Raw genomic sequence first — 20,175 nt, 5'->3', positions numbered from 1 at the left:
CATGTGAGGGCTTATTTCTTGGCAATCTATTGGATTCCCTTGGTCTATATGTCTATCTTTATGCCTGTACCACACATTTTTTGGATTACTGTAGCTTTGTATTAAGTTTTGAAATTAGGAAATGTGGGTTCTCCAACTTTGTTTTTCTTGTTCAAGATTGTTTTCATTATTCAGGTTCCTTTGAGATTCCATATAAATTTTAGGATGGGTTTTTCTATTTTCACAAAATATTCCATTTAGATTTTGATAGATTGCATCTAATCTGTAGATCACTTTGCGTAGTATCACCATTTAACAATAACACGTTTTTAAATCCATGAACATGGGATGTTTTTCCATTTATTTAGATATGCAATTTCTTTCAGTAACATTTTGTGGTTTTTTATGAGTCTTTAGACCCATTTGTTAAATGTGTTTCTACTCTCATTTATTTTTCGGGAGACATATAATGTAGTGGTTAAATGCACATATTCTGAAGTTAGACTGCCCAGAGTTTGATTTCACCATTTAGTAGGGCTGCATGGCATTAAGCAAGTTAACTTAACTTATTTTTGCCTCAGTTTTTTTCCTTAAAATTAAGGATAATGCTTCATAAATGTGATGTGAGTATTAAATGAGATTATACATATATTTGTTTTAGTGTATGGACCATATTATGTGCTCAATAGATGTTAATGTTTCATAGTAGTAGTAGCAGTAGTATCAAGATGTAGTAAGAAATGAGACTGGGGCAGTGTATTGGTGCCATTTTGTGAAGAGTCTTAAATATCAAGATAAGGGATTTAGACCTTGTTCTGTTGGCAAAAAGATCATTAAATGTTTTTGAGAACAAAAACTTGTTTTAGACAGTAAATTCTGGTGATTATGAGAAAGACAGGTGGAGAGTTATGTAATTGTCATAATGGGTACTAGTTCTAATTGGCAATGAGAATCTGAACTAATGATAGAATGTATCCAAATAATATATCCAAATTATATATATATATATATAATATGTATTCAAAAGAAGATATGTGTTTAGACATTTTAAATAAAAATTACAGCTCTTGACAACTGTTTCCATGAGTATAATAAAGAAGGCATGCTGAGTTTGAGGTGTCTCTGGGACATCTATATATAGACACCTAGAAGTCTGAAATTTGGAAGATGGGTCAGGGTAAGAAATGCCTATTTGGGTATATGCTCTTATCTACTGTTCTACTAATATTTTGCTAATATTCTACTAATATTTTGCCTTTCAACTTCAAATCCTTTTTTGCCTTAGTTTGTGATTCTCAAGATGGACCCTGTAGATATTTCTCCTTTGTCAGTGGATACAATTTTGTCAGTGGATACAATTTTGCTAATAGAGGGTGCTGGAAGGACACTGGAAGGGCTGAGCAGGAGGAAGGTTTTTCGTGTGTGTGTGTGAGTGCGCACGCATGCACAGTTTTTCCATGTGATAGCCAGTAAATGGGCATGTGGGGTGGGGTGGAAGAGAGCAGCCCTCGCAGGAGTGGCCCTCAGAGATAAGCAGCAGCTGCTATGTCCTGCAAGTTTCTTTATCACTACCAAGCTGCATGTATATGACAGCCACACCACATCAAATGAGGCCTGAATCTCAACCTTGGCGTGGGAAAAGTTGGAGAGTTCTTCTAAGTTTCCAAGTTCCTGCCTTGCTCACATTCCTCAGCCCTAATGATAGTTATTGTTTTTTGGAGTTGCTGCTTCAGTACTCCCTAGAGCCCTCTTTTACCCCTTTTACCAGCCAACGTTTTTTTTTTTTTTTTAATATTAAAATGTCCCTATTCAAATTACTGGTGTGATTTCTGTCTTCTGGCTGGACTTGGACTGATGCAACCACGTATGAGTAAGAATTGAAATAATAGAAGTACATGATCTCACTCAAGCAAAGAATAGAAATGAATTTGAGAAGATTGAGGGGGGAACTCCAGGGAATGACTTTTTTTGAAAGTGAGCAAAGAAAGTGTAGCTAGAAATAAGAAGGAGAAAATAAGAAGAAATCATAAAGAAGCCTGGGAGAAGAGTTTCAAGGTGGGAGGGGTGAGCTGCAGTGTCAAATTTCATAGAGGGATCCAGTAGGGGAGGCCTAGGGAGAGGCTGTTGGATTTGGCAATAAGGAAGTCACCAGAGACCTTTCAAAGGACAGTTTCTGTGGTTTCATGAATGAAGGTAGAAGACAGATTGCCAAGAGGACTGAGAAAAAAATGGAAGGTGAACAGAGTCAACAAATGGAAGTTTCTCTTTCAAGAAGCTTGATAGTGATGGGAATGATATATACAGGAGAAAAGCAGAATTAAAATAAACATTTTGGGGATAGGGATATTTGAGAATAGAATTACATATAAGCCCTAACATAATTCATTTGAGACTCTGATAAAAAAATTGTGAAGTGCTTGTAGAAATTAAAAGCAGCATATAAATGCAACATACTAGGAATGCTTTTGTGATTCTTATAGGATTTTTCACTATTTAAGGCTTTGCCTCATAGCCATCACACCATTTTTGCTTAAACAGATCCATTCCACCTCTAATTGCTCCATGCTAGTCACATCCAATGACTGCTGGCAGAGACCACCTAGTGCCTTTCCTTCAAATTATGCCTGCAGAGATTTTCTTCCTATCTTGTGCACATTTTCCTTTTCTGAATTTACCATAAATGTAATTGCTTTGGCATCTCTCTCTTGCCCTGGGACTTGTTGGGACTACTCATTTCAGAAGCTGGCTTACATTATGCAAGAGAAAGAAGAGCCCACAGCAGAAATATTATCAGAGGGCCCTTAGGTTTATATGTGTTCTGCTTCAAATCACCTTTTCCTAAAGCCATGTCTTGCCACTTGAAGCTAAGCATTTTATTATTTGTGAAACATGTCTGGCATCAAAACAAAAACTTTTTTACTTGTGTGAATTTATGGGGAACATGAGAAATTCCATTACATGCATATAAAGCATAGTGACCAAGTCAGGGTATTTACGGTGTCCATCTCCCAAACACAATACATTTTTATGAAGTATAGTCATGCCACTCTGTTATCAAACATTGAATTTACTCCCTCTATCTTACTGCATGTTTGTACTCTTTAATCCACATCTCTTCACCCTTCCCCCTGCCCCCACTCACCCTTCCCAGTCTATTATCACAAAATAGAAAGTTTTAAGTTAAGGATCTCTGGCCAAAAACAAGTTGATTTTCACAAATAGACACAGAGAGAAATTCATATAAATAAGCTACTCTACTACCTTTTGGGGTTAGGATAAGCAACTCTTTTCTGCTAGAAGGAAAATAAATTAAGGTTCTTACTGAACTGGATGCTTTCACGGGCATCATTTCACTTCCTCATCTGCACTCTCGCCATGCTGTGTTTTCATTCACGTTTGCAACTGAGGCTCCGAGAAAGTAGGTGGTTTGTCCAGTACTATCCAACCAGCAGACAGCAGGCAGGATTCGCACCCATGTCTAATTCCTAGACCTGGGCTCTTTTTACCAAGCAAATGGTAATGGTTATAACTAATTCACTGGAAAAAATGTCATTTTAGGCGTTAAATCTGTGGCAACTGCTTTACTGAGCTCAAGGAAACACATGGAAATTAAAGAAGGCTGTGAGTCCTTGGGTTTAGAAAAGAAGTGATCCTAGTCAAAAATAGGATTGGAGTCTGGTACAGATAGAGACACTGAAGTGGAGTTAGAAAGAAAATCACTTTAACACTCGGGGCTGCCAAGGGATGGAGACATGACAATGAAGTCTTCAAAATACAAGACTGAAGAAGAAGACCTGGTTACCCATGAGTGGCTTGACTCTAGGGGAGGCTGCGGTGGCACAAGAAAAGGCACCATGGAGTAGCAATAGGAGCAAACATCTCCTAACCTTTGCAAGAGGCTCTAGATTTTAAACCTGGACTTAAAAAAATCCATTTCTGAAAGGAAAAGTTAGAAAATGGCAGAAGAGTGGTGACTTCATCCTGACTCATACAGTTCACTGGAAAGTAGCTCGTCTTGTGATCAACAGCCAGGGGTACATCACTCTACTTGGTTCTGCCTGAGTGCAAGTTTATTCCTGCCCTCTCATATCATCTTTGAAGATTAGAAAGCTTTGCTAGCTTGGACTTACTCTTTGTAAACAGAGCATATGGAACAATTTGTGTTTTTCTGATCACATGAGAATGAGAGCCCTCCGAAACTATTAATTCTTCTTTTAAGTTAAAAAAAGTTTTAACTTTATTTTAGGTTCAGGGGTCCATGTGCAGGTTTGTCATATAGGTAAACTTGTGTCATGGGGGTTTGTTGTACAGATTATTTTGTCACCCAGATACCAAGCCTAGTATTTAATAGTTATTTTTCCTGATCTCTCCTTCCTCCCACCCTCCACCCTCCCATAGCCCCCGGTGTGTGCTGTTCCCCTCTATGCATCCATGTGTTCTCATCATTTAGCTCCCACTTGTAAGTGAGAACATGTAATATTTGATTTTCTGTTCCTGCGTTAGTTTGCTAAGGATAACGGCCTCCAGCTTCATCCATGTCCCTGCAAAGGACATGATCTCATTTTTTTTATGGTTGCATAGTATTCCATGGTGTGTGTGTGTGTGTGTGTGTGTGTCACATTTTCTTTATCCAATCTGTCACTGATGGACATTTAGATAGATTCCATGTCTTTGCTATTGTGAATAGTGCTGCAATGAACATATCATGCATTTGTCCTATTACTGGGTATGTATCCAAAGGAATATAAATCATTCTACCACAGTTAAATTTTTTTCTTAGGTTTTTGTGCTGTGATTTCATAAAGTCAAGGAAAGAAGTGTTTTGTTATAGATTCTCTCATGAGTGCCCTGTTGGAACAGAGGCGTGGTCAGGTGAGGAAATAACCAAAAGCCAGCTTGGCTGACCAAGGGTTTTTGAAAACTCAGGTGACAATGTTATGTTTTGAAATGAGTTATTCAAATATTTGTTATGAGACAAAAGAGCATGGCATGTCAGAAACATGAAAGCAGGCATTTAAAACAGTTATAAGAAGTAACTTAGGAGATGAACAAGTTTACTTTAGCTCTTCTTTTTCTCCCTACAATTTACAAAACTCAGATAAGTAAATTAAGGGTGCACAAGAGGAGAGAAAATGAGATCTGATAGAAAACTTCACCGTGAGACTTCAAGAATATCTGCAGAGAAACTCATCAAAAGGATAACTGAAAATCCTGAAAGGTACTTTAAGTCAGGAGTTCATGAGTTTTCAGTATTCTGTGGGAGAAAGAATCTACGGGAATAGCAGTTCCTGTGCTCCACTTGAACCTGCGTCAAGATATTTAAAAGCAGGGAATGCTGCTTTGAAGGAAAGCCACAGAAGTTGGCTTATGTGCTGTGGAGACAGTGTGGCCCCCTTCCACTCCCAGATTGTGGGAAGAAACCTCAAGTGGCCTGCAAGCTGGACGTGGCTGGTCATCATATTTCCTGCATCATCAGTCAGAAAATGGCATGCAGCTGTATTTTCACTGAACCACACTGTGCGGGGTAAGCAGCTGATCTTTTAACTAATGTCTCCACATTTAATATTCCTGTCATTTTTTTTCTAGAGTGCTATTTTATGAATATAAACACTTCTCCCAATGGTTGGATTCATATATGAATTGCCAATAAATCTAAGATTTGCTCTGGTTCTAGTACAATCATGAAAAGCCACTTCCAATATTATCCTCAAAGCCAAGGGCCATAGTCACAGGCTTTGAAGATAAAGCAAATTTTTAGTACTTGAAAAACTACTCACACAATATGGTGTCTAGATAAAATAATTCTCCCTTTGAAGTCAGGTCAGATGGTTGAAATGTGAGCAGGTTGAAAATATGGTCTAATATACAGTTGTTAAGCTCTGTGTAAGATTCAGGACCATTAGTCCATGAAGACCTGCAATCAAAATCATGGGACTGGTTCTGAGGATATGACCTTTTAGCCCTGGACAGGATGGCAGCAAAACCCCTGAGACCCATGGGGCTTTTCAAGTTCTCTAGAGAAGTAGATTCTCTTGAGCCCATTCTTGAGTGTAATAGCCGGTCTTCTAAGGAAGGCCTGCAAATTGTCTTTATTTTCAGGTAAAATAATTCACGGTCTGGGTTATCTATTGCGAATGTCAGCACTGCTAAACACATTCAACATATTAAAAGAGATGACTTGGCTCTTTAAGGGGAACAAAGGTGAAAATGTCAAATTTCATTTGGCATATGAAACTGTAATGTAACATTTGTAAAGTATTTCATGGTATAACTACTTCCCTGAAATATTTCTCTGTGAGCCTTAAATTATAAAGCAATGGCCTTTCTGTTTTGTGGAGCTCACAGCTGAGGTGTGGTAAAAATACATCTTCAAACTATTTCTTAACTCCTGCTCTAAAATCAAACTAATGGGGACCTAAACTGTTGAATTTCAAAGGTCTAGCCTTAAAGTTCCAAGTCACACTGACCAGCAGTCCATCACTGTTTCCTGTAGCAAGGAAAATTCATGCAAAACTGATAGGGAAAACTGATTGATATTTTCTATAAAAAAAGCAAATATACTCCTTCCAAACCAGTGACATCAGAAATGCTACCCAGGGCACCATCTTATACAACAGTTATTGTAGTAATCTGATAATATGTGAATGCTCCAGTCAGCTTTCTGAAAAATCTCATACGTGCTTCTCATTTAAGCATTTTATTTAATCTCCCTCCTCAAATTTCTTACTGTGGATGCAATGAATCATGCTAGATTCAATGAGTGGATAGTTCTGACAATGAACGGGTTGGGGTTTGGTCGGACTGTGATATGAAGGGTGGGTGTCAAAAGCCAATATTTTTTTTGTTTGTTTGTTTTTGAGATGGAGTTTCTCTGCTGTTGCCCAGGCTGGAGTGCAGTGGCACAATCTCGGCTCACTGCAACCTCCGCCTCCTGGGTTCTAGTGATTCTTCTGCCTCAGCCTCCCGAGTAGCTGGGAGTACATGCATGTGCCACCATGCCCGGAAAAGCCAAGATTTATCCTTTCTTGGGAAGACAGTGAGATTATTTCTCCCTGAAAATAAAGCAGAACAGAACAAAACAAAATGATAACAGAGCAAAACAAAAGAGGTTTTGAGGGAAGCGAACAGTAGTCTAGTTCTAGTTCTAATTAGCCCCATTGCATGCACAACCTAATCAGCCAGTCCAGGCCATATCAAGTGAAAGCTCATCAAGTAGCCATGAGAGGCTGAGTGGGGTCTATTTCTTGCAGTGGTCTGTAATGTAACCTCATGCCAGTAAGCCATTCTTCAGGAGAAGCTTGCCTTAATCACCTCTGTAACTGGCACCTGGAATGGTTTTGGTATATAGCTAGAGCTGCTATAACAAAATACCACAGATTAGGTGGCTTAAACAAGAGAGATTCTCAGTTCTGGAGTCAGGAAGCTCAAGATCAAGGTGTCAGCAGGATTTGGCCTCCTATGAGGCCTCTTTCCTAGGCTTGCAGATGGCCACTTTTTACCTGTGTCCCTACATAGCCTTTTCTCTGTGTGCACACATCCCTGGTGTCTCTTCTCTTCTTATCAGGACACCAGTCCTATTAGATTAGGGCACCACCCTTAGGACCTGTTTCACTTTCTAAACACCCTATCTTCAAACACAGACAATTGGGGATTAGGGCTTCAACATACGAATTTTTGGGGGGACACAATTCAGTTCATGAGATGAACTGCCTTTGCAAAGATTATGGCAGTGAGACAAATCTGACATAGGAAAATTATGTCAGTGAAAGAAATCTGACCTCATCGACTGATCTCACTTCTAACCTCCAAGCTGCCCTTGTTCATTCTTAGGGGTAGGGTGAACTAACTTTTGGAGTAATTTAGCTTATAGTTGAACTTTGAAAAAAAGACAATACATCTTCTCCCCAAAATAAACTCCCTGCTTGCTTAGCGATCCGATGACCTTTGTAAAACCAACAAATTATTCACAAGATTAGAAACTATAGCTCAGGAGTCATGCAGCCAAAGGCCACAAGATAATAACCTCCCAGTTGCTCCTATAGATAACATCACTGTTGTAAAACCTAAGACTGACGTTTGAGGTATTTTTCAGACCCTGCATTCTGATGGATTAGCTGGTGCTACCCAGACTGTTTAAAAAATTAAAAGCAGCAGATTCTACCAGATCTGCTTCTGTGTATTCATATATGTTGTGTGTATGTGTGATGCCTCATTATTAAAATAAATAAAAGAGCTCTAATTAATTGCCTTTAAAAATAAGCACTTAAATCAAATTATTTTGCCAGAAAAATAGAAACTTTAATGCCTTTTAGTTCACAGGACTCTAATAAGCTTTGAAAAATAAAGACAGTTTTAAAGATTATTGGTAAAATAAAATAAAAATGTCTTCACAATTTAGACATTTCATCTAAATTAGGCAGTTCAGATACTGTATTTACTAGAGGCTTTAAAGTTACACACCGCTTCTGTGACTTTTGATAGGTGTCTTCTTGCCTGCTTTAGAAATATTTTCCAAATTTTAAATCGTAAGTAAGGCCTGAGGACATGTGGATTTAGCCATGTCCCTTAGCTAGTTGGAAAGAGTCAGACATTATCTGCAGTTCTGTCCTGTGTCCTAGGCTCTGCACCTGGTACATAACTAAAATTGCTTATGCTTAAAAATAGGAGTTGTATGCTATTGGCAAAAACACATACGAATTTGGTTTTTTGGGTCTAGCTTAGAGGGTTTAGGAATTGTTCTAAATTTAATAAAGGAGAAGATAGAACTAAAAGTTTAAGCAAGTTTATAAGGTTTATGATAGATTCATCTTGTAAGAGAAATTCTGTGTGTGAGCAAATTGGCTAAAATTAAAAGGATATTATTTAGTTTTCCCATAAATGAAACATTAAAATAAAATGCAGGGCCGGAACTGGGCTCTGTGTCAAAATAACAAGATTTTCTTAAAATATTGATCTGCTTTTTAACAAGAAATTATAAAGTAATAATGGAGTTGTCAAAACCATATCTTATGCTTACACACTAATTAAAATGAGATAAATTTGTTTATGAGGTTTTATTAAAAATTGGGTTTAGGCTGGGAGCAGTGGCTCATGCCCATAATCCTAGCACTTTGGGAGGCTGAGGTGGGAGGATAATTTGAGGTCAGGAGCTCCAGACCAGCCTGGCCAACATGGCAAAATCCCGTCTCTACTAAAAAAAAAACAACACAAAAATTAGCTGAGTGTGGTGGCATGCCCCTGTAGTCTTAGCTACTCAGGAGGCTGAGTTAGGAGAATCGCTTGAACCTGGGAGGCAGAGAATTGCAGTGAGCCGAGATCATGCCACTGCACTGCAGCCTGGGTGACAGAGCAAGACTCTGTCTCAAAACAAAAAAAACAAAAAAAAACAAAAACTGGGTTTAACATAAATCATACGTGAATACAAAAGTAAAATAGGATTTTCTCTTTTGAACAAGATTTTCATGTAATATTGAGATAATAAAATATATTTTGCCTTTTAAATCAACTACAGAAAAAAGGCAAAAAGAGAGAAGAGATAGATTCAGTTGTCTTCATACTGTCTTTATTGGATCTTGTTGGTTGGAAAGCTGAATCTCCCCTCTATTAATGAGTAAAAGTTTAAGTCTTTTTAAAATTTTTGAGTTATCATTTTTGTTAAAGAAATTACTTATAGTGACATGGAATTCTATTTTATGATACCAAGTGTTTTAAATCTTTGATATTTGACAAACTTTCCAAAATCAAATTATAAATTAAGTCTTTTTTGGCTTCATTAACTTTTTAAGAATTAGGTCCCCTGAATTCCAAAAAGGGACATATTCAGCTTATTTGGTATATTAAAATCATACAGAAAGCATTTTCAAATATAAAATGGTTTTTAATTTTCTTTGAGTTATATTCATAGAAATGTGTTATAAATTTGTGCTTCAAAACTTTGTAAGATTCCTGTAATTCTGATATGTCTCAGTATATTTTATGATTAATAATGGTTATGTTAAATTATTGTGTGCCACAGATATGACCAGATTTCCTTGTTGATTTTGTCTTTAATTGTGGCTATACTAAGATTTTTGTTTTCCACAGATAATTGTTATCTTGTTTTGATCCTTTACAAACGGCAGTTTATAATCAGCTATAAGACTCTGACAGCTGCTTTTGAGTGCAGGTTTTTGATAACTTGGGAGATTGGGTCATTGAAATTAAAAAAAAAAAACTTTCAGGACTCTTGTAGACAGCTGATCTGTTCAGGAGCACTGCTGGCTCAACAACAGGAAGAACAAAGGTTAATTGCATGAACTGAACTAACAGAAGACCCAAATAACCTTTTTATGACTTACTGCTTGACATACTGCTGATCTTTTTTGTTCTGTTTTTCAGAGTATAGAAAACTTTTTCTTTTGAGCTATTTATAGCTTTTAACAATTGAAGAAAGTATACTCCTATGAACAAAAATTAAAAAAATATTTCTTTCTCTACCTAATTTATCAGAATTTGGAAACTACCCGTGAGTTTTCTTAACTTATGGCAATATAGTTATTTGCATAGGTGCAATAAGGATCTGCTTTCTTTTATAACAGGACACAATTGGAGACACTGGCTACTTTATCAAGGCTTAAATTGGAATGACATGCTTTCAGATATAAACAGACTGCTTGAAGGAATCAAAGTTGACTTATAGAGCCAATAAAAGCCCCTTGGGAGAACTGGACTTATACCTTATTTACACAGTCCCTGTACAGAGTTCCTGACCTGTGGTAAATAATTTTTGACGGGCCCAGGCTCAAGAGGAGAGATATTCATCCAATCATATAAGCATCTGAAGGCACAGATAAATTTGCGGCTGGGCTCAAGGCTTTAAAAAGTCTAATCTGAGATTCCTTATGGAGAAACCTCCAGAAAAGCCAATTTTTAAAAAGTCTATATGGATTAGTCCATTCTTGCACTGCTATAAAGAAATACCTGAAACTGGATAATTTATAAGAAAAGAGGTTTAATTGGCTCATTGTTTCACAGGCTGTACAGGAAGTATGGCTGGAAGGCCTCTGGAAACTTTCAGTCATGGCAGAAAGTGAAGGAGAAGCAGACACGTCTCACATGGACAAAGAAGGCAGAACAGAGAGAGAAGGGGGAGGTGCTGCACACTTTTAAGCAACCAGATCTCATGATAACTCACTCATTATCATGAGAACAGCAAGGGAGAAGTCTGCCCACATGATCCAATCACCTTGTACCAGGCCCCTACTCCAACACTAGGGATTACAATTTGACATGAGATTTGGGTGGGGACACAAATCCAAACCATATCATTCTTCCCCTGGCTCCTCCCATATCTCATGTCCTTCTCACATTGCAAAATATAATCACCTCTTTTCAACAGTCCCCTGAAATGTTAATTCATTTCAGCATTAACTCAAAAGTTCATAGTCAAAAGTCTCATTTGAGATGAGGAAAGTCCCTTCTGCCTATGTAAAATAAAAAACAAGTTAGTTATGTCCAAGATACAATGAGGGTACAGGCATTTCATAAGTACACCTATTCCCAAAGGGAGAAATCAGCCAAGTTTTGGCAGCTCCACTCTTGTGGCTCTGCAAGATATAGCCTCCTTGGTTGATTTCATAGGTTGGAATTGAGTGCCTGCAGCTTTTCCATGTGCACAGTGCAAGCTGCCAGTGGATCTACCATTTTGATGTCTAGAGGACAGTGGCCCTCTTCTCATAGCTCCACCAGGCAGTGCTCCAGTTTGAGGACCCTGTATGAGGGCCCTGCCACCACATTTCCCCTCTGCACTGTCCTAGCAGAGGTTCTCCATGAGGGCTTGCCCCTGCAGGCCCCTGCAGCAGACTTCTGCCTGGACATCCAGGCATTTCCATACATTCTCTGAGATCTAGATGGAGGCTCCCAAGCCTGAACTCTTGGCTTCTGTGCACCTGCAGACTTAACACCATGTGGAAGCTGCCAAGGCTTAGGGCTTGCACCCTCTGGAGCAGTGGCCTGAGACCTATCTGGGGCCCTTTTAGCTATAGCAGGAGCTGGAGAAGATAGGATGCAGGGAGCAGTGTCTCAAGATTGCACAAGGCAGCAGGGTCCTGGGCCTGGCCCATGAAACCATACCTCCCTCCTAGGCCTCCAGGCCTGTGATGGGAGAGGCTGCCATGAAGGTCTCTGAAACATCTTCAAGGCATTTTCTCCATTGTTTTGGCTATTAATATTTGGCTCCTCTTTATTTAGGCATATTCCTCCCATGAAAATGAATCTTTCTTTTCTACCACATGGTCAGGCTGCAAATTCCCTAAACTTTTATGCTCTGCTTCCCCTTTGAAAAGTTTCAATTTGAGATAATCTCTTTTCTCATGCATATGACCATATGCTGTTAGAAGCAGCCAGGGCAGACCTTGAATGCTTTGCTGCTTAGATATTTCTTTTGCCAGATACCCTAAATCCTCTCTCTCAAGTTCAAAGTTCCACAGATCCCTAGAGCAGGGGCACAATGCTACCAGTCTCTTTGCTAAAGGACAGCAAGAGTGACCTTTAGTCCAGTTCCCAATAAGTTCCTCATCTCCATCTGAGACCACCTCAGCCTGGACTTCATTGTCCATATTACTATTGGCATTTTGGTTGCAACAATTTAATAAGTCTCTAGGAAGATTCAAACTTTCCCATATCTTCCTGTCTTCTTCTGAGCCCTCCAAATTGTTCCAACTTCTGCCCACTATCCAGTTCCAAAGCTGCTTCCACATTTTCAGGTATCTTTATAGCAATGCCCCACTCCCAGTATTAATTTTCTGTATTAGTCCATTCTTTCACTGCTTTAAATAAATACCTGAAACTGGGTAATTTATTAGAAAAGAGGTTTAATTGGCTCACGGTTCTGCAAGCTGTAACAGGAACTATAATTCCTGTAGTATTGTAGGAATTGTAGTAGGCTGGAGAGGCCTCAGGAAACTTTTAATCATGGTTGAAGGTGAAGGGGAAGCAGGCACATCTTACATGGCCAGAGAAGGAGAAAGAGAGAGAGAAGGGAGAGGTGCTACACACTTTTAAACAACCAGATCTCATAAGAACTCATTCACTATCATGAGAATAGCAAGTGGAGAGTCTGCCCCCATGATCCAGTCACTTCCCACCAGACCTCTTCTCCAACACTGGGTATTATAATTCAACATGAGATTAGGGTGGGGACACAAATCCAAATCATATCACCATATAACAAATAATTATTCTTGCTGTACTTTATGCAAATAATTGGGCCAAGTATAATTGGACTGATATGGTTTGGCTGTACCCTCACCCAAAACTTCATCTTGAATTGTAGTTCCCATAATCCTCATGTGTCATGGGAGGGACCCAGTGGTAGGTAATTGAATCATGGGGGTGGTTACCCTCACAGTCTTCTCATGATAGTGAGTTCTCATGTGATCTGATGGTTCTATAAGAGGCTTTTCCCCCTTTTGCTTAGCTGCCACCTTCTCCTTGCTGCCACCATGTGAATAAGGATGTGTTTGCTTTCCCTTCCACCATGATTATAGGTTTCCTGAGGCCTCCCCGCCATGCTGAACTGTGAGTCTATTAAACCTTTTTCCTTTATAAATTATTCAGTCTTGGATGTGTCTTTATTAGCAGTGTGAGAATGGACTAATACATGAACTAAAGCTTATTTTGCAAGTAAATCAGTCCTACCATGATTTGTCTTTAATAAAATTCGGAGACTGGAGAGAGAAAAATTATGTTTCTAAAAACTATAGTATAATTGTTGTTAGATTTTGGTCTTGTTCATTGTTTTTAATTAAAAAAATATGTTCTACAGTTTGGACTGACTGAAATTCTTTCTGGCCTGCAAGTCCCCAAATTAATGCTTACAAATTTTTCTTCCATATTTCGGATTTGGACTACTACCTTCTTTTTTCCCTGAGGCCCTACAAGCTAAAGCTTATTCCTTGGGATACAGTCAAGAAAAATGTGTCAAATTACCACAGCCTTCCTCCTCTGTAACTAAAAGTGTTTTGAATTGGACATCTGGATAGATTGTGCCTAACATTAACCTTTTTCTTCTGTTTCCATAGAAATATCTCTTATTAAAAATCTGTTTACCTTCATCACTTATAGGAGCATAGCCCATCTGCAATGCCACCTCCTAGAATGGGACACTACTGTTTAACTCAACTGATCTATTCTCAGGTCTAAAAAGCTGACTAAAAATATATGAGATGATATATTTAAATTTTCTCTTTTGTGTGTGTCCCAATTTGTCTTTCTAACAACCTGACCCAAATCTCTCTCTACTAGTGACCCTATGTCTGATTGGTTCTCAGAGCTATTTGCCTGAATCCCCCAGGGTTTCAAATCAATTCTACAAAGAAGACTGAAGCTCGGACTTTCACTCCTGACATTAAGACTCATTATCTTCTAGTCTGCTGCTCACTGAAGTGCTGTGCTAAAACTGTGGATGAGAGTACTAACATCATTGTCATGCAAGTCTTGAAACCCCACCCAGGCACCTGTGAATACATGCAGACAGCTGCAGAGTAGTTTCACTCCTCTTACCTTTAAGAATAATGTGTGATGAAACCCAAGAGGGGAGATTAAAACTGCCTTTGCAAAGATTATGACAGTGAGAAAAATTTGACATGGGAAAATTATGACAGTGAAAGAAATCTGGCCTAATCAGCTGATCTTGCTTCTAACCTCCAAGCTGCCTTTGTCCATTGCTGGGGGTAGCCTGAACTAACTTTGGGAGTAATTGAGTTTATAATTTAATTTTGAAAAGAAGAATGTAAAAAGCCCATTCTCCAAACAACCTCCCCTCTCCTCTTGATTAGGGACCAGACTGTCTTTGTAAAACCAACAAATTAGCCACAAGATTAGAAATGATGGCTTAGGAGTCACGCAGCCAGAGGCCACAAGAATTCAAACTCCCAATTGCTCCTATAGATAACCACTACTGTAAAACCTAAGATTGATGTTTGAGGTATTTTTCAGATCCTGAATTCTGAAGATCAGGTGGTGCCACCTAGACCAGTAAACTGGCTCATCTGGTCTTGTGGTTCCCACCTAGGAACTGACTCAGCATAAAAGGACAGCTTTGACTTCCTATTATTTCATTCCCACCCTACCATTCAGCATTCCTCATTTCCTAGCTGTCTGACTACCAAAATATCTTTAAAAAAAAACCTAGTCTTCGAATTTTCAGGGAGGCTGGTTTGAGTAGTAAGAAAACTTCAGCATCCCATTTAGCTGACTCTACATGTATTAAACTCTTTATTGCAATTCCCTGTCTTGATAAATCAGCTGTTTAGGCAATAGGCAAGATGAACCTGTCAGGTGGTTACCAAGATGTAGTACTTACTCAATAATTGCCTTTTAAATAAAGAAAAAATGTTAAATATTTTCTATCTAGTTTGTCTGATTATGAATGTGAGGGGTCACAATGACAACAATTTATTATTATTATTGCAATTAATCTTAGAGTTCCACAAAGAGGCCTCACCAAACAATTTAAAAGGAATTTATTGCTAGAACTTTTTGCAGGTCATGTTTAAATGCACTTTCTGTTACTACACAACTGGGAGATTGCTATATTGTCGAAGGCACTTGCTGTTCATTTCTCTCTCAAATCTCTTCCTCGAATCCAGACTCATCTCATATTGCTGGAATTGGGTCATGGGCAAGGCTCCAGCAATGATGTTTTGAGCCACAGGTAGCCCCCTGGCTGAATGTAATACTTGCCTGGTTTATTTTTTAGAGCCTGGCCTTAAGCACTTTATTCAAGGCCATCAGTATTATTTTATGTAAGTGATTAACATTTTTGGGGGGTACAGGTTCTTTTTTGTTAGGGTTAACACAGCATAATCTTCTAATAGCATAAATTCCCATTAGTATCCACTGTTGCATAAAAAATGTTCATTATTATAGTAATTAGAAATGTTAATTTCCTAGAGCAATTATAACTTCCTTTACATGGCAGTGTTTTTGAAAGAATTTTATTAATTTATTATTTTTATTAATTTCAATTTTAATTTTAGATTCAGTGGGTGCATGTGCAGGTTTCTTATAAGAGGATACTGCATGATACTGAGGTTTGGGCTTCTACTGATCCTGTCACCCAGACAGTGAACACAGTTCCCAGTAGGAAGTTTCCCAGGCTTTGCCGTCCTCGCCCCCTCCCTCCTTTCGGAGTCCCCAGTGTCTATTGTTTCCACACAGACTCTTTTTGAGAATCTGATGAAAGTTATGAACTCTCCAGAAGAAATGTACACTGCTATGGTTTGGCTCTGTGCTCCCCGCCCCCCAAAATATCACCTTGAATTGATTGTAATAATCCCCACATGTCAAGGGCAGGACCAGGTGGAGATAATGGAATCATGGGGGCGGTTTCCCCCAGGCTGTTCTTGTTATAGTGAGTGAGTTCTCCTGAGATCTGATGGTTTTATAAGGGGCTTCCTTCTTTGCTCAGCACTTATTCTCTCTCCTGCTGCCCTGTGAAGAGCTGCTTTCAGCCATGATTGTAAGTTTTCTGAGGCCTCTCCAGTCATGTGGAACTGTAAGTCCATTAAAGCTCTTTCCTTATAAATTACCCAGTCTAGTATGTCTGTATTAGCAATCTGAGAACGGACGAATACATACGCATATACAGACACAACAGTTGGCACACAAAGTATTTTTGCTTTCTATATCTGGTGGCCTAAGAACATTTTCATATGTTTGTTACATATATAGTTTTCTCCCCATCTCCCATTGCACAAACACATGGGAGCTTGATACTTATTTTTTGGAATGCAGAATGTGATATTTTGCCTATACCCCATGGACTTCAGTAAGCAAGAAAATGACTGTAGTTTTTAACCTTAAAAAAAAAAAAATCAACCGGGAGATGTCTCAGGCAAAAACAATGATTTTCCTGGACCTCTGGTTCTTATAAGCTTCGGCATTGTGTTGCCTCACTCCTCCATTTGTAATGCTAATCAGGGTTTTATTGAGAGTTTGCAGCGGTAGGCCCTATGCTACTTGCTTTCCATGATAATTTTATTTAACCATCACAACAACTCTAGAAGTAGGTACTATTATTATTCATATATATATATTTTTTTGAGACAGAGTTTTGCACTTGTTGTCCAGGCTGGAGTGCAATGGTGCAGTCTTGACTCACTGCAACCTCTGCCTCCTAGGTTCAAGTGACTCTCCTGCCTCAGCCTCCAGAGTAGCTGGTATTACAGGCATGTGCCACCACGCCCGGCTACTTTTTGTATTATTTGTAGAGACAAGGTTTCACCATGTTGGCCAGGCTGGTCTCAAACTCCTGACCTCAAATGATCTGCCTGCCTTGGCCTCCCAAAGTGCTGGGATTACAGGTGTGAGCCACCGCACCTGTCCATTATTCATATTTTGAATGAGGAAACAAGGTGTCTTAGTTTCCTGTGGCTGCTGGAACAAATGATCACAAACTTGGTGGCTGGAAATTATTATCTCACAGTTTTGGAGGCCAGAAGTCTGAAATCAAGCTGTCGGCAGGGCTGTGCTTCCTCCAGAAGCTCTAGGGGAGATTACGTTCTTTGCCTCTGGTGGCTGCCAGCATTCCTTGGCTTGTGGTGGCTTATGCAATCTCTGCCTTCCCTGAATGTCTCTTGCAAGGACTCTTTTTTTAAAAAAATGTATAAATTTATGGAGTGCATGTGCAATTTTGTTACATGCGTAGAATGTGTAGTGGTCAAGTCAGGGCTTTTAGGGAATCCATTGCCCAGATGAAGTACATTATACCCATTAACTAATTTCTCATCATCCACCTCCCTCCCACCCATTCACCCTTCTGAGTCTCCATTGTCTATTATTGCACTCTCTATATCCATATGTATACATTTTTTAGCACCTACTTATGAGTGAGAACATGTGATAGTTGACCCTCTGTGCCTGGCTACTTACAAAGACTCTTTTCATTGGATTTATACCTCATCTAGAAAATCTAGGATGATCTCATCTCAGATAAATATTTTTTGGAAAAAAAATTTTTTTCGTATTATCTTTTCATTCCATCTAAAAATATCTTATCTTTTTTTTTCCAGAAAAAGTCACATTCACATGTTCTTGAAATTAGGATTTGACATATCTTTTTGTGGGCTGCCATTCAACCTGCTAGACAATACATAGGTAATTTATAGTGAGTCAGTAGTAAACCTGGGATTCCAACCCCTTGTCTTGGGGCCTCAAGAGCTTGTGAAAGCCCCACACTAATTGTAGACTTCAGCATCTCTTCTGACTTTCAGTCATGAGGACCATTGTCTTATGTATAGACTGGCTGCTGGCTAACATGTCAGGGCCTGTTTTGATAGCAGTCTCAATTCTAGAGGAAATGTGAAGCTGACTCACACAAATAAACAAAGAAGCTTAGCCAGGGACAATAAAGCCAAAAATCACGTTAAGGGCACAGTTCCTCCCTCTAGTTTAGCTCCTTGGCTTTATTCTGGTGTGAGATGTCCCGTGGTGATTGAGTCATGGAGAGAGCAGAGGGAGGGCTCTGAGGAACCTGGGAAGCCTGCTGAGCTGCATTTGGGACCTGCCTGGGCAGAAGGGCAGTGAGCTTGTGGAAACATTTGGCTAAAATATTATTCATGCAGAAAGAAATTGAAGAAGGCATAAGTAGATGGAAAGATGTCTGTGTTCTTGGATCAAAAGACTTAATATTGTTAAGATGTTTGGCCGGGTGCGGTGGTTCATGCCTGTAATTCTAGTACTTTGGGAGGCCGAGGCAGGCAGATCACCTGAGGTCAGGAGTTCAAGACCAGTCTGACCAACATGGAGAAACCCCGTCTCTACTAAAAATACAAAATTAGCCAGGGTGGTGGCGCATGCCTGTAATCCCAGCTACTTGGGTGGCTGAGGCAGGAGAATCGCTTGAACCTGGGAGGCAGAGGTTGCGGTGAGCTATCACACTGCACTCCAGCCTGGGCAACAAGAGCGAAACTCCATCTAAAAAAAAAAAAAAAAAAAAAAAAGACGTTCATACTACTCAAAGCATTCTATAGATTTAATGCAAGTCCTATCAATATCTCAATGTTTTTTTAAGAAATATAAAAATTTATCCTTAAATTCCTATGGAATCTCAAGGGACCCAAAATAGCCAAAACAATCTTGAAAAGGAAGAACAAAGTCGAAAGGTTCACACTTCATGATTTCTAAGCTTACTATAGTGCTACAGTAATTAAAGCAGTATGGTACTTGCATAAAGACAGACATATAGACCAATAGAAACAGGCAAAAGATGTTTTAGACATCTCTCCAAAGAAGAAATACAAATGTTCAATAAATACATGAAAAGGTGTTTAACATCATTAGTCATTAGGGAAATGCAAATTAACACCACAGTGACATATCACTTCACATTCATTAGGATGGCTGTTAAAAAAACCCAGCAACAGTGGAAAACTACAAGTGTTGGCAAGTATGTGGAGAAATTGGAACCCTCGTGCACTGTTGGTAGGAATGCCAAATGGGGTAGCTGCTATGGAAGAAAAGTTTAACGTTTCCTCAAAAAAGTTAAACCCAGAATTACCATATGATGCAGCAATTCCACTACTAGGTGTATACCCAAAAGAATTGATAGCAAGGGCTTGAACAGATATTTATATGCCTATGTACACAGCAGCATTATTAAGCATAGCCTAAAGGTGGAAACAACCCAAGTGTCCATTGACAGATGGATGCATAAAGAAAATGTGGTATATACATTCAATGGAGTATTATTCAGCCTTAAAAAGAAACCAAGTTCTGATACATACAACGACATGGATGTTGTATGAAGACATTATGCTAAGCGAAATAAGCCAGTCTCTAAAGGAAATATATTGTGTGATTCTACTTATGTGAGGTACCTGAAACAGTCAAATTGATAGAAACAAAAGTAGAATGGAAGTTACTAGGAACTGGGGGAGAGTGAATAGGAAGTTATTGTTTAATGGTGTAATGGACTGAATTGTGCCCCTCTCTCCCCCCTGCCAGTTTATATGTTGAAGCCCTAACCGTCAATGTAAGTGTATTTGAAGATACGGCTTTTAGGAGGTAATTAAGCTAAATGAGGTCATAAGGATGGAGTCCTAATCTGATAAAACTGGCTTAACAACAAGAGGAAGGAAGAGGGGTCTTTTCCCCTCGCCCGCCAAACCCAGCATATGCACAACCATATGAACACACAGAGAGGAGGTGGCTATC

At 39.1% G+C, this 20,175-nt stretch overlaps 1 protein-coding gene across 7 annotated transcripts in view, besides 1 other annotated feature; it reads right to left on the bottom strand.

Moving 5' to 3' along the window:
• Positions 1-20,175, bottom strand: part of GALNTL6 (polypeptide N-acetylgalactosaminyltransferase like 6) — a 1,228,156-nt gene that overhangs the window by 40,801 nt on the left and 1,167,180 nt on the right. The gene's annotated exons all lie outside the window — the stretch shown is intronic.
• Positions 18,147-18,406: an enhancer, noted in NCBI's record as "active region_22153". NCBI's record gives its function as "activates an Ori minimal core promoter by ATAC-STARR-seq in GM12878 lymphoblastoid cells {active_cell/tissue: GM12878}" and the evidence as "EXISTENCE:reporter gene assay evidence [ECO:0000049][PMID:35858748]".

The sequence above is a fragment of the Homo sapiens genome, chromosome 4 (genome assembly GCF_000001405.40).
Source record: "Homo sapiens chromosome 4, GRCh38.p14 Primary Assembly".
Classification (NCBI taxonomy): domain Eukaryota; kingdom Metazoa; phylum Chordata; class Mammalia; order Primates; family Hominidae; genus Homo; species Homo sapiens.
The sequence above is the reverse complement of the archived record's forward strand: the minus strand, read 5'-3'. Positions and strand labels throughout refer to the sequence as shown.